Below are 15,205 nucleotides of genomic sequence, written 5' to 3' on the forward strand. Positions count from 1 at the left end.
ACACACACACCCCACACATAGATATTTTGTTAACATACATTACCTTATGCTCTACACATTATTCTGTGCCTAGCTTTTCTCATCGAATAATGTGTATTGGAGATCTTTCCATATAAGTACATATTGGTCTCACTCATTCATTTTTAATGGCTGTATATTAGTCCATAGTATGGAGTAATAATACCTTTTATTGGCACAAAGTTTTGCAGTTGACAAAGGGTTTGCATATATTGTTTCATTGGGTTGTATAGCAGTCATCAACGGACATATCAAGAATCCCAGAAGGGTAACCTGGGCTTCACCCAGGATCGCATGGAGCTTGGGACTCAAACAGCTAACATTCCCTAAACAGGCCCATATTCCTGCAATTTAGTGCAGCTGCTACAACATTTAGGTAAACTCTTTGAAAGCAGTAAAAAGATCACCAATCTGGGACATCAAGAAGCCAGACGACAAGGAGACATAGACCTCAGGTGAGTGAGAAAAGAGAATAATTGAAGTTTAGAACTGAATGGGCACTAACGAACAACAGATACATCTCTTTCCTTTCACCGATGAGGACCTGGGTGTGGCCTGTGGATGTTAAGTAGCATGTTTAGGCCACACAGCTGGATTGTTTTCTTTCCTGAGGCTAGCTCTGGAGAGGGGAGGAAACGGAGATGCTAGATTTTTCCGGGCTCTCTTTTCTCATCAGCTAGAATGGGATGTGGATGGAATGCAGCTTGAGAAGCCAAACACCCTTGAGAAATGAGAACTCTGCTTTCTGATGTGGGGCGCATCCTATCTGAGATAACTCTCCTGCCAGCGCAGTATGACCATTGCGACTTGAGCTGTGTGGGTGCCCAGGTGGTGTAGACCTTAAAACCACTCCTGCTTTTGTTTACTGAATGTCTAATATTCACACAGTTCTTTGTCTGAGTGCAGGGCCAAAGCAGCAAATAACGAAGAAGCTGTGCCCAACCATAAGAACTATGAAATGCTCCAGATCATCTACGCTAGTTTGAGTTAAATTTACCATGCAAATAAATATAGAACATTTCTTCTTATGCATAGATTGTATTTGTTCTATTAAACAACCATCCTGTAAAGGTTTTATTCATTCATTTATTTTTATTTGTTAGGAGAAATTGTTATTTAAGCTAAGAAAGTAGACTAGTAGTTATTTCTTTTTTTTTGCTTATTATACTTTACGTTTGGGGATACATGTGCAGGTTAGTTACGTAGGTATACACGTGCCATGGTGGTTTGCTGCACCCATCAACCTGTCATCTAAATTAGGTATTTCTTCTAATGCTATCCCTTCCCTAGCCCCCCACCCCCTGACAGGCCCCAGTGTGTGATGTTCCCCTCCCTGTGTCCATGTATTCTCATTGTTCAGCTCCCACTTATGAGCGAGAACATGCAGTGTTTGGTTTTCTGTTCCTGTGTTAGTTTGCTGAGAATGATGGTTTCCAGCTTCATCCATGTCCCTATAAAGGACATGATTGCATCCTTTTTTATGGCTGCATAGTATTCCATGGTGTATATGTGCCACATTTTCTTTATCCAGTCTATCATTGATGGGCATTTGGGTTGGTTTCAAGTCTTTGCTATTGTGAATAGTGCTGCAGTAAACATACGTGTGCGTGTGTTTTTAGAATAGAATGATTTATAATCCTTTGGGTATATACCCAGTAATGGGATGGCTGGGTCAAATACTAGAAGGCTACAGTAACCAAAACAGCATGGTACTGGTACCAAAACAGATATCTAGACCACTGGAACAGATCAGAGGCCTCAGAAATAATGCTACACATGTACAACCCTCTGATCTTTGATAAACCTGACAAAACAAGCAATGGGGAAAGGATTCCCTATTTAATAAATGGTGTTGGGAAAACTGACTAGCCATATGCAGAAAACTGAAACTGGACCCCTTCCTTACACCTTATAAGAAAATTAACTCAAGATGGATTAAAGACTTAAATGTAAGACCTAAAACCATAAAAACCCTAGAAGAAAACCTAGGCAATACAATTCAGGACATAGGCATGGGCAAAGAGTTCATGACTAAAATACCAAAAGCAATGGCAACAAAAGCTATAATTGACAAATGGGATCTAATTAAACTAAAGAACAACTGCACAGCAAAAGAAACTATCATCAGAGTGAACAGGCAACCTACAGAATGGGAGAAAATTTTTGCAATCTATCCATCTAACAAAGGGCTAATATCCAGAATGTAGAAGGAACTTCAACAAATTTACACACACACACACACACACACACACACAAACAACCCCATCAAAAAGTGGGTGAAGGATATGAACAGACAGTTCTCAAAAGAAGACATTTACACTGCCAACAACATAAATATGCTGCCAACAAGCATATGAAAAAAAGCTCATCATCACTGGTCAAGAGAAATGCAAATCAAAACCACAATGACATACTATCTCACACCAGTTAGAATGGCAATCATTAAGAAGTCAGGAAACAACAGATGCTAGAGAGGATGTGGGGAAATAGGAACGTTTTTACACTGTTGGTGGGAGTGTAAATTAGTTCAACCATTGTGGAAGACAGTGTGGCGATTCCTCAAGGACCTACAATTAGTAGTTATTTCTAGGTCTGACGGGCTGTCTTTTAGTTTGTTTTCTTATTCTGAGGTGGACTTAAACCAATTTTAAAAACAGGGATGACTGAATTCGTGTGTTAATCTTGTACTACAGGAACCCTTTGACATTGATTCAGAAGCACCCAAGTGTTTGTTCATTAATCCTTTTTTATTTTTGCATATTATTTATTTTTCAACTTTTATTTTAAAAATCAGGGGTACATATGCAGGTTTGTTACAAAGGTATATTGAGTGATGCTGAGGTCTGGCATATGGATGAATCTGTCACTCAGGTAATGAGCATAGTACCCAATGATAGTTTTTTGTACCCAATGATAGTTTTTTGTTTTCTTTGTTTTTTTTTGTTTGTTTGTTTTTTGAGATGGAGTCTCGCTCTGTCACCCAGGCTAGAGTGCAATGGCTTGATCTCGGCTCAATGCAACCTCCGCCTCCCAGATTCCAGCAATTCTCCTGCCTCAGCCTCCCAAGTAGCTGGGACTACAGGCGTACACCACCATGCCCGGCTAATTTTTGTATTTTTAGTAGAGATGGGGTTTTACCATATTGGCCAGGCTGGTTTTGAACTCCTGACCTCAGGTGATCTGCCCACCTCGGCCTCCCAAAGTGGTGGGATTACAGGCGTCAGCCACTGTGCCTGGCCCCAATAGATAGTTTTTCAGTCCTTGCCCCTGTTCCTCCTTCCCACTTCTAGTTATCACCAGTGTCTATTGTTTCTGTCTTTATGTTCATGTGTACCAAATATTTAGCTCCCACTTATAAGTGAGAACACATGGTATTTGGTTTTCTGTTTCTATGTTAGTTTGCTTAGATAGACCTCCAGCTGCATCCACGTTGCTGCAAATGACACGATTTCATTCTTTTTTATGGCTGTGTAGTATTCCGTGGTGTAGATATACCATATATTCTTTATCTAGGATAACTGATGGGCAATTGGGTTGATTCCATGTCTTTGCTATTTTGAGTAGTGTTCTGATGACCATATGGGTGCATGTGTCTTTTCAATAGAACAATTTATTTTCATTACTCTTATCAGGATACCTGGGAGGAACTTCTCCTACGAAGTTAATTTGGGGGGACTCCTGAAGATGAGTGAAACCCCTTATTAAGCACTTAGAGGGTCGAAAGTGTACAAGGGAACGTTCAGGTGTGACAGCTTGAGAGACATGCATATTCCACCCCCACACCAGAGCTTAGTGAACCGTCTTTTCTATTTTCTCCCAAAGCACCAAAATGGCCCAGAAATTGGAAGATGGAAAATGGACTTATTTATGAGTCTGGGAAGGCAGGGCAGTAAGCACAGTCCTGTTCAGGGTTCTGAGTTTTACCCTCTTGCTCTGATTGCGAGATCATTTTCCTCTTCCTTGCTTCTTCAGCTTAGGACAAGAACAGTTTGGAAATTGTTTCTACTACTTTGGACACCATAGTTTAGATTTCAAATGAGTACAAGTGGGAGGAAAGCTTGGATAATTCTCTGGAAATAATCGAACAGAGTGAAGGAGAGGGGTCTACAGGTGAGCTGAATGCTGCATGGCATTGAAGTAATCACACCAGTCGTCACAATTCTCTCCTCTTTGATGGTTATCTGTTGTCCCAGAAGGAACAATTTCAGAAAGTCCTTTTCTGGACTGTAGAATAGCACTTGCTTATTTGATGAGCCCTGAGAAGCATTACTGAAAGCGGTTCATTGTCCCTGAGGTATTACAATGAGATGGTGGTCACTGATTTCATTATGTTTTCCTTTATTGCAGCTGTTGGTTTGATCCTTTGCCAGGTGCTTAAAACAATTGTGGTTTTGCAGATGGTAAGTTAGAGGTTGGACAAAAAAAGGGATCATGTCACTGCCCTGGCCAAAATTTCAACAGACTGGGGTCTAGTGAGGGCAAATAGATAGAGGCTTTCCTCTTCACTTTGTGTTATTTAGAAAAAGAAACTTTCCAGGACAAATTTCTTTCCTAGAATTCCTTTTTTAAAAATTTTTTTTCTTTGAAAATTTACTTAGATGCAAATAATATATTTTTCTTCCTTTTAAATAATAAAAGTAAGATGTCTCTTGGAGGTGGTGGTTGTCACTGACAAGATTAACTAGAACTGACTAGCTGTAAAAATATAATTTGGGATGCATTATTAAGGCATGCCATTTTTATTTGCATGCCATTGTGTACAGATGTGGTTGTGAAATAGTTCAAATCATGGCACATTGAATGTCCTCACTGGATTTTTAGGAATGTGTTCACTGAGACAGCCAAATCCTATTTCATTTTCTTTGGCTCATTGCATTGGCTGTAAATTGGAGATATTCACTTTAATATGTGAGTCAAAATTTATTTCCAAACATAATACTGCAGTTGTTCTGTCACAGAATATAAATTTCTTATTTATTTCCTTAATACGTTGCTTTCTACTTTTTCTTTTTTTCTTTATTTTATTCTGGAGTATGTGGAAAGGTTTTCCAGAAAGATTTGCATATGCCATAATCTACTGATGAATACTTTTTTTGGGTTACTCTTTCATATTTTGGGAGATATAACTATGGAAGTGTTAGGAATCATGGGTTCTGGAAATAGTTTTATTACTGCTTCTGAAATGCCCTCCCAATGATACCATATAGTAATTCCATCAGGGAATAATATTTTTATTATAGTTTAAAATATAACTTAATATTTAGGTGCTCTTGTTCAGTCATCGTCAAGTTCTTTTTATTTCACCAACCCTACCATGGCACTCCTGAAAGACTTGTGAATGCGACAGACCTGGATTTAATCATGGCTTTGCCATCTGCTAGCCAAGAGAACTTGAACAAGTGAGTCAACTTCTTGGAGTCTCATTTTCTGCTTCTGTAACATGGGAACTAGGGTAATCTAACTCATTGCTTGTGATGATTAGATGAGGCAAAATGCTGAGTTCACCTAGCCCAGCACCTGGTCCATGGGAAGCATGTGGGTTCTGCTGCTACCCAGTCCTTGGCCCAGTGCATGGTGCACAGAAGGGAATCTGAACAGGCCAACTTTATTCCTATTCTTGACCCACCCCATGTAGATGCTTCCTACATCTTCAGCTTCTTCTTCTTCTTCTTTTTTTTTTTAAGGCAGGGTCTCACTCTGTCCCCCAGGCTGAAGTGCAGTGGCACAACCACAGCTCAGGGCAACCTCGACCTCCTAGGATCAAGTGATCCTCCCACCTCAGCCTCCTGAGTAACTGGGATGACAGGACCACACTACCACACTTGGCTAATTTAAAAACTTTTGTAGAGCTGGGGTCTTGCTATGTTGCCCAGGCTGGTCTCAAACTCCTGGATTCAAGTGATGCCCTCACCTCAGCCTCCCAAAGTGCCTGGAAAACAGGCCTCCACACCCAGCCTTCAACTTCATTTTAAAAAATTGTGGTAAACTATACAATTCATCCATGAAAGCAGAAACCACTTGTACCCCAAAAGCTATTGAAATTTAAAAATATATATATTAAAAATAAAAATAAAATTGTGATAAGATATACATAATATGAAATTTACTACTTTAATCATTTTTAAGTGTACGGTTCAGTGGCATTGAGTACATTCACATTTTTGTGCAACCGGAACTTTTCATCCTCCCAAAGTGAAGCTCTGTACTTATTTTTTATTTTATTTTATTTTTTGAGATGGAGTTTCACTCTAGTCGCCCAGGCTGGAGTGCAGTGGTGCAATCTCGGCTCACTGCAACCTCTGCTTCCTGGGTTCAAGAGATTCTCCTGCCTCAGCCTCCCAAGTAGCTGGGATTACAGGTGCCCACCACCACACCCAGCTAAGTTTTTGTATTTTTAGTAGAGACGGGGTTTTGCTATGTTGGGCAGGCTGGTCTCTAACTCCTGATCTCAGGTGATCTGCCCGCCTCAGCCTCCCAAAATGCTGGGATTACAGGCATGAGCCACTGTGCCCGGCCAGCTCTGTGCTCATTAAACAATGACTCCAAGTTCCCCTTCCCCACATCTCCTGCTGACCTCTCTTCTACTTTCTGTCTCTGTGAGTTTAACTATTCTAGGTACGTCATGTAAGTGCATCTATGTGATATTTGTCCTTTTGTGTCTGGCTTATTTCACTTAGCATAATGTCTTCATGATTCATTCATGTTGTAGCATGTGTCAGAGTTTCCTTCCTTTTTAAGGCTGAATAATACTCCACTGTATGGATAGACCACACTTTATTTATCCATTTGTCTGTTGATGGACATTTGGATGATTTCCATCTTGTGGGTATACTGAGTAATTTTGCTATGAACATGGGTATAAAAATATCTATTTGAGTTTCTGCTTTCAATTATTTTGGGTCTACACCTCAAAGCGGAATTGTTGGAAGTGGAATTGCTTTCCACTTGTTGGAAGTGGAACATGGTCTCCCACTTCATTTTGACACAACTTCCAAGCTTCAGAACTGTATTTACAACAGCGTGCTGGGAGGTCGCTTTGAGTTTATGACGGAAATCTCATATCAACAGGTTTTAAATTGTTCCATACGACTTCTTGCCACCCCTGTCCCAATTCAGATCTTTTTTTTGATTAATGGTATGAACAATTTTCAAAATATCCTGGCACAATCTATTAGAATATTTGACTTTCTCCTCCTCCTCCCTTTAGCCCTAACTATTTGGCAAAGCTGTTGAAAACTTCTTCACATCTTCTCTCTGCCTCATCTACTTTGCTACTCAAAGATGATTAGTAGATGTTTTGGTATGATTTTTTTTCCTTGGCATAACTGTGAATACTTTTAATCCTTCATGTTTTATGACAATCATACATTCCCACTTTTGTGTAAAAACATTTTGAATTCTTCTTTCTATAACAAATTCTTTGCCAGTCTTCCTTTTCTTTTTGCTTTTAGTGAGTTCCAATGATATCATTGTTTGAACCTGTTTTCTAATTCTATGCTGCTATTCCCATACTCCCTCTTTGCTTTGGTTACAGTAGATAATGTGGGTGGTCCTACCAAGACAAAGCATCACTCAGGAGTCAAGGGCTGGGGTAGATACAGACACTAGGTACTGCAGAAAGTCAATATCTTTCTCAGAGTGTAAGGCAGGACAAGACTTCTGTTCCCTTGTACCGTTGTGGCTGGGGAGTTGGACTGTGCATTTCATCCTTGTCATATAAGTCAAAGTATTGCCCAAATAACTTAATTTTGGTGTGGTCTTAGTAAGTATTTGTCTCGTAGATATGTTAAATAGAAGACAGTAACATTGGGTTGGCTGTGTTAATTCCTCACTTTTTCTTTCCTATACATGAGCTTCCTAAGAAGCGGAACACTTGGTGGTCAGACAGTTGCAGAGATTCCTTGCATGATTGCAATCTGGAAAGTAGATACCATTCTTGAATGAAGAGCTTGCCCTTTGGAGAAGCTGGGCTTTCCATATATGGAGGTTGTTAGAATGCATAAGAGTTCAGCTTCTGGAATGAAAGGAGACCTTGGTTCAAAACCCATCTGCCACTTGCTTGCTGTGTGGCTTAAATCAGGCTTTTAAACTTCAATTATAATTTTGCATCTGTATAATAGGATTAATATAATTCCTTCCTCATAAAGTTCCTAGGGGGTTAAATGAAACAATCAATGTATAACACACTTCCTGGCATGTGATGTTCAGTACCTAGAAGACTCGGTTTCCTTGGTAGAGAGAATATTTGGCTAGACAAGCTTATGGAATTACCCCCAGATAGGAAGTGAGCACAAGTGTGAAATGAACAAGCCAGAGCAGGAACGGCTCTTGGAAGCGTCTACTCAGGCCTGGGCAGTTGCTGGTTTATATAACAGTGCTTTGAAAATTCACGTGCAGATTCTTACTATTTTCCCAAATGTTACAGCTCAAAACTATGTTGTCTGTACCTTAACACCTAAAGGATAATATAGTCTTTCACTGATAAAACTAAAATGTCATAGGTTTTCCTTTGGCCAAATATGTATAGAAACTTGTGATTTCACATCAGATTTAAAGCTGTATTTAACACTCTATGAAAACATACTGATGCTTAGAAGTAGAAAGGAAGTCAGATTTTGACATCTTACTTGTCAACTTAAATTATTTATAGTTCCTGGATGCTTCAAAATGTGATAAACCATAGTTAATTTTATGTAAATATTCGATGAGTGCCTTTAATAAGGAGACTGTAAAGGTAGCCAAGCTTTATATATGTTAGCTACATTTATGGGTCAATCGGGTATAAAAAATAGGACTTCGAAAATAAAATATTATTTTGTCGGACTCCTCCAATGAGGCTTTTTCGCAGGATTAGCTAAAATTGGCTCTTATTTGATGTGTGAGTGCTTAAACATTGGAGAATTCATTTTTCTTTTAGAATTCATTTTTATTTCTGAGCCTTAAAATATGAACAGTTAGCTAAATGTTTGTATATGTTGATAAGGAATGCTAAGTGTTTATTCCTTAATGGGACGACACCTTTTCCCGGTTTACATAACTTGCCTTTTAATCTAACCTTATGAAAGTCTCCTTGACTTTAATTTTTTTTCAGAGTACTGTATATCTCTTTAGGGAATGCATTTATTTAAAAAATTATAAAGCAAGAATAGATGTGATATATTTTGAAGTTTTCTAGTCACAAATTAAATCCCTAGATGTGTTGTAGTTTGTGGAGCACTTTGAAATGTGCCAATTCAAGATGGAAATAGCAGGAAAGAACCATTCAAGTACGATTTCTGACTCCATAAAGTTAGGAAGTTATGATAAAGGAAAAATAACTACACCACATACTTATGGCACAGAATTGCATTATTGGGACAAATTGATCTTCAAATTTGTAGGCTATGATGGAAGCAAATATTTGTAGTATCTTAATATTCAACTGTTAAGCCAGGAGACGAGTACTCTGAACTTCAGCTTCTCATAAAATCAGTCAGTTACATGACAGTTTATGTAGTTTATATGTAAGAAACCCTTTGATCAAGATATGCCTTTTCTTCAGCCTTGTTAATACTTCATTTATAAGGATTTTTATTTCTAGGAAAATAATACCATAGACCTATTTTATTTAAAGCTAAAGTGTTTCCTGGTGATGGTGGTGAATGGGGAGATGATTCAAGGAAACTGCTAATCTTGTAGAGTTTAGTAAAATCTTGGAATAGAAATTTTAAAAAGTTAAAACACACTATGAAAACAAATCATTATTAGTAAAATGAACCATATTAAAATGTCTCCATAACCAACGTATTATAGCAGGGGAAAATGGCATTTTAATTCAGAAAAACATTTCTATATAAAACAAGCTTTGGAATAATTTGAATATGTTGATTTTTCTTTGGGGCAATCATGAAATACAGTCATATTAGGAAAGAGGCAAGGCCTCAAAACGGAAAGAGTAGTGAGGATAATTCATGAGCAATGCGTGGCTTCATGGATCCCTTCCTGGCCCTCTTCATCTATGAACATCTGCTTTATGTTCATGTCTGGCCTCACCCAGTGCTGAAGAGCAGACTGCCCCTGCTTAGAACCAAGCCTTGTTCTTGTGGATTTGAGTTTTGGGGTCCTGAGGTAGAATGGCCATCATATTGTTCAGGGTCCTCACCTTCCCACTCATTACTTCCTTTATAGAACCCCAGTCATCCCCCTCAGGAGGCCTGCGCTCCACAAATGAAGTTGGGGGTGAGGGGAGCTTTAGCATCTCAGTATTGTTCAGATATTGGATACTTGTTGAGCTCCACTATGTGTGTGAGAATGCGCTGGGCTCAGGATCAATAGCCATAAATGAGACAGATATGGCCCATCCCTTGCCATGCCTAAACTGATCTGGGCATTGAGACAAGCAGTTAAAACCCAACATAGTAAGTCCTATGATGAGACACAAACTAAGCATGGCTGGAAGGGCAGATAAGATTTCACAGAGGAACTGACATCTTGACTGGCACACTTAGAAGATGAGTAGGAGTCAGTTGGGCCAAGAGGAGAAAAAGTGTGTTTCCATGAAGAAGAAGAGCATGTGCCAAGTCCTGGGGGTGAGAAGCATGGCATGTGTCAACAGAAAGACATGATCAGAGCTTGGATGGGAGTTAGAGCGGGGAGAGAAGGCAAGGAAAAACATAAGAGCTTTGCAAACTGTGAAGGCATTGCATTTAGATGTCATTTTTAGAGCTTGGAGGAGCCTCAGGACATTGAGGCAGGATAGTGGCCTGATGGCGTATGATTTTAGGAAAAATCACTGTGGCCACCCTGTGGGGAAGGATTGGCGGGGGAAGGCTGGAGGCAAAGGGTCCTGCGGTGGGCTGTGGTAATGATCTGGGCTGGAGAAGGTATGGTGGTGCCCAGCGCAAAATTGGTTTCGCTTTGAAAAATAATTAGAAAATATTTGTTTTGATCTGTGTGCCTGTGGTGGGAGGTGGGGAGGGAGGGTCAAGTGAGGAAGGAGATTGAATCTAGAATAATGCCCATGTTTCAGGCTTCACGTGCAGACATTTCTTGGTTCAGCTGGGAAGTGAATAGGAACAGACTGGCGAGGAAAGAAGACAGTCGTCAGTTCTGTCTGGGGCACATCCATCTTGACGAGTGTGAGAGAGTCAAGTCTTGATGGACAGGGGCAGGTGGACATTCAGGAAACTCAGGAAAGAGATTTGATCTGAAGTGACCACCAGAAAATACTGACGGAAAAGAGGTGACAAAAGGAGAGACCTGCAATATTATATTGGCTTTCTCTCAGGCAACTGCTTGGCCTGTCTTTATATTCCTTTTGAATCTCTGCATATGTACGGGCCATTATTTATTTTCACAACTAACAAATGCAGACTTTCTGTGTAATGACAACAAAGCCAAACCAGCTGCTACCAAAGGAGGGAAAATCAGAAGAGAAGGAAAAAGAACAAGGGAAGCTTGGGGAAAAGCTGAATGTGGGTCCTTCTGTTGCTGCAGGGGCTGGGGTGGGCCCGGTGATTCCTACTGAGAGGCGTTTTCTCTCCCCGCTTCCTGTCTTTCTGGTTCCATCTCATTCACCTCCTGTCCCCTCCACTTCCTGCCAGTCAAACCTTAGATTCCTCCAGAGGCTTTTTATTTTTATCTTTTGATGGGCAAGAAAATAGTGCGGATTATTTTTCCAAACCTTCACCTGAACATCACATCGTGGCTTTGGCCCTATGGGCTTGGTTCATCCGGGCCTGCACAGAAGGACTTTTCGGGCCAGTCTGGTCACATACATCGAGTCCTGTCTTTTCAGTTAAAAAAAAACACACACACACACACTGCTATGTTTCACTAAGACAACTGGTGTGAGTTGTTTTTTAGAAAATCAACTCTACTTCAGTAAGATTTTCTCAAGCATTATCTTGAGAAGACCAGATAATAAAATTTAAAAAGAATTTCTTCTTTTTTTTTTATTATACTTTAAGTTTTAGGGTACATGTGCACATTGTGCAGGTTAGTTACATATGTATACATGTGCCATGCTGGTGAGCTGCACCCACTAACTCGTCATCTAGCATTAGGTATATCTCCCGATGCTATCTTAATGCAACTTAAATCAATTGCTTTAATAACACATATTGACCAAGTTACACTCATTAAGGAAAAAAAACTACTTTGTTGTTTTTCTTCTTCTGACGTGAGCTGAAGACTTAGAAATAGTTGTTAATAGTGTTTGGTTAATAAGAATTTGTTTTAATTGCATATATCAAATATGTATTTATTAAACTTTTCTTTTTGTCAGTTTATCAATTCTAGCTTTGTCACAAAAGGTTTGCCGTATGAACATGATTCTGTTGTACATCTATTTCCATTTTTGTTAAGAGACGAATTCAATTGTAAAAATCTAGTACCTTTTATTCATTAAACATGTTAGTTCAGGAATTTCACTTGGTTCTACAAAGATACATATCTACAGTGGATGGCCAGTGCAAACATGAGACTCAGCCAACTGGTCTCTGACCCAATTCAGTTCTCCTGTCTTCTTCTGGCTTACAAAGTAACTGGCTCTGGGGAGAAAGTGAGTCAAAGTAATATTTGGTTTGAATGGTTATTGACTATTTTCTTCTGAAACTTAATGTATACTAATTAATTTTTTATTTTATTCTTTTTTTTTTAGAGATAGGGTCTCGCTCTGTTGTCCATGCTGGAGTGCAGTGGTGCTATCACAGCTCACTGCAGCCTTGACCTCCTGGGCTCAAGCGATTCTCCTGTCTCAGCCTCCCGAGTAGCTAGGATTACAGGCATGTGCCATCATGCCAGGCTAATATTTAATTTTTTTTTTTTGTAGAGACAAGATATTGTTATGTTGCCCAGGCTGGTCTAAAACTCCTGGTCTCAAACTATCCTCCCACCTCAGCTTCCTGAAGTACTGGAATTATAGGCATGAGCTGCCACACCTGGCCATATACTCATTTTTTGTTAAAAGCTGAAATATATCAGCATATACTGCATAAATACCACAGGAGACTAAACACTGAAAGTTTCTTTAGGGTATCAGAAGAATACACTTTTTGCTTGCAGTTAGCATCTGCACAGATAAGTTTTGTTTCTGGTTCTATTACTTCTTCAGTTTGACCCTATTAATAAGGACAATTCTAAAAATAATAACTGTGTCTGGATATCTGAATCCGTGTGTGGTCTTTTACTGAAGTTACAGGTTTATAACTCTGCTGACTAGTTTGCTGGTTTCTGTTATGCAATAGAAGAGTGCAAATGTTAATTTGATCTGAAGCCCGTGTATACAGTGACTTTTATAATGTATATTTAAAGATGGAAAGCCAAGTTTTATGAGGCCAGCATTTCTTGTCAAGTCCTCACTCCACCCTCTTCTAATTGGGCCTGACCCTTAAGTTGAATAAAGAACAAAGAGCTCTGTAGTTAAAACATTTCACTGCATGTTGCATCTTGCCCTTAGTAAATGGAAAAAAATAGAGACTTAAGCAGAGAATCTGAACTAGGGTGTGAAATATATATTCAGTTTTGGGGTGGGAGAATGAGAACCATGTTTTACAATAGTATACATAACTTCCTTAGTCTAAATTCAGGACATTTCCCCAAGATATGTAAGAATTTAGACTTATGCAGACAGACTTTATAAAAACATGCCAATATTTATTAGTTTGTGAATTTTAATATTCTGCTCCCTATAAACCAGATTTATTTTGAGGGATAAAGGGATGGAGGTGACTTCTAAATCTTAGAGCAGAAACTTCCTGTGGGCAGCTGGACATATGTACCAGGAGCTCAGAGAAGAGGGTTGTGTTGGGAGCGTACATTCTGAGTGATCTGCATTTGGTGATGATGGAAGCCATGGACATGCACTAGATTGTCTTGTGGGAGAATATGGAGTAGTAAGAGAAGAAGAAGACCTAGGATTGAGCCCTGAGCACCTCTGGCTTAATGTTGGATGGAGGAAATTGAATCTGTAAACAATACCGGGAGGCTGCAGCCTGAGAGGCAGAAGGAACTGGGGTGTTTGGGATTATGGAAGCCAAGGGAAAAAGCCTGTCTCACAGCGGGAAGGGAGGTATCAACATTGTAAGCTGCTTCAGATAGGTTATGTAGGATGTGGACTGAAAAATACCTGTAAAATTTGGCAACGCGATTCATTGGTAATCCTAGGGAAGTTGCTTTTTTGGGGTAACTAAGGTGGAAAACAGATTGGTGTGGGTTGAGCAATGCAAGAGAGGTGAAGAAAAGGAGATTTCATGTGCAGACGTTTCTGAGTTCAGCTGGGAACAAGGGATAAGATAGAAGATGGAAGTTAGAGAGCATGTGGGGCAAGGGAGACTCTTTTATGGGACAGTCTCGCATGTGATCAAAGCCAATGAGTAAGGAGCATTTGAGGGAGAGAGAGTCAATCAACAAGAGAGAAAAGAAAGAGGGTTCATCATAAAATAACGGTAACAACAACGAACATCTTTTGAGTGTTTTCTATATCCGGGGAACTATGGTAAACTCCTAACCTGCATTCTCACATTCAATTCTTAGAATCGTTGGATGTGGTGGGTTCCATGATTTCCTCTAGATTAGCGAGGAGGAAAGAGAGATCTAGAAATGTCAGGTAGCTTGCTCAGAGTTCTCCAGGTAGTCAGTCATGGACTAATTTGTGAACTGAAGGACTGAACTTCGTCACCACCCAGCCCACCAAGCCGGCTTGACTTTAGGTATTCTGTGCTGCATGTGAGTACCGACTTAAATTATATTTTAAGAAGGGCTACTTTGAAACTCTCTCTCTGAAAACTCTATTTCTAAAAGCTCTACCCTCACAACAATTTTGGCAAGCAGTCTTGGTAAAACCAAACCAAACCAAACCAAAACCAAAAAACCTTATCTGCTGAGAAAATATAACCACATAAAATATGGTGCTACAAAATATAGACTGTGTGAACTGAAGGTGACTTGCCCAAAGGACTCCTGAAGCAATTGGCTGCTGTAGAAATTAAGTCCACGGGAGGTTTTTTGTTCTGTTTTTTTTTTTTTTTTTTTGAGATGGATTCTCACTCTGTTGCCTAGGCTGGAGTGCAGTGGCGCAATCTCGGCTCACTGCAACCTCCGCCTCCCGGGTTCAAGCGATTCTCCTGCCTCAGCTTCCTGAGTAGCTGGGATTACAGGTGTACACCACCATACCCAGGTTTTTTTTGTATTTTTAGTAGAGACGGGG

The 15,205-nt window shown here is 39.7% G+C and overlaps 1 protein-coding gene across 31 annotated transcripts in view; it reads left to right on the forward strand.

Annotated features, from left to right (window-relative positions):
• Nucleotides 1–15,205, forward strand: part of ESR1 (estrogen receptor 1) — a 472,948-nt gene that overhangs the window by 208,499 nt on the left and 249,244 nt on the right. The window lies entirely within an intron of this gene.

This window comes from Homo sapiens, chromosome 6, assembly GCF_000001405.40.
Source record: "Homo sapiens chromosome 6, GRCh38.p14 Primary Assembly".
Taxonomy (NCBI): Eukaryota; Metazoa; Chordata; class Mammalia; order Primates; family Hominidae; genus Homo; species Homo sapiens.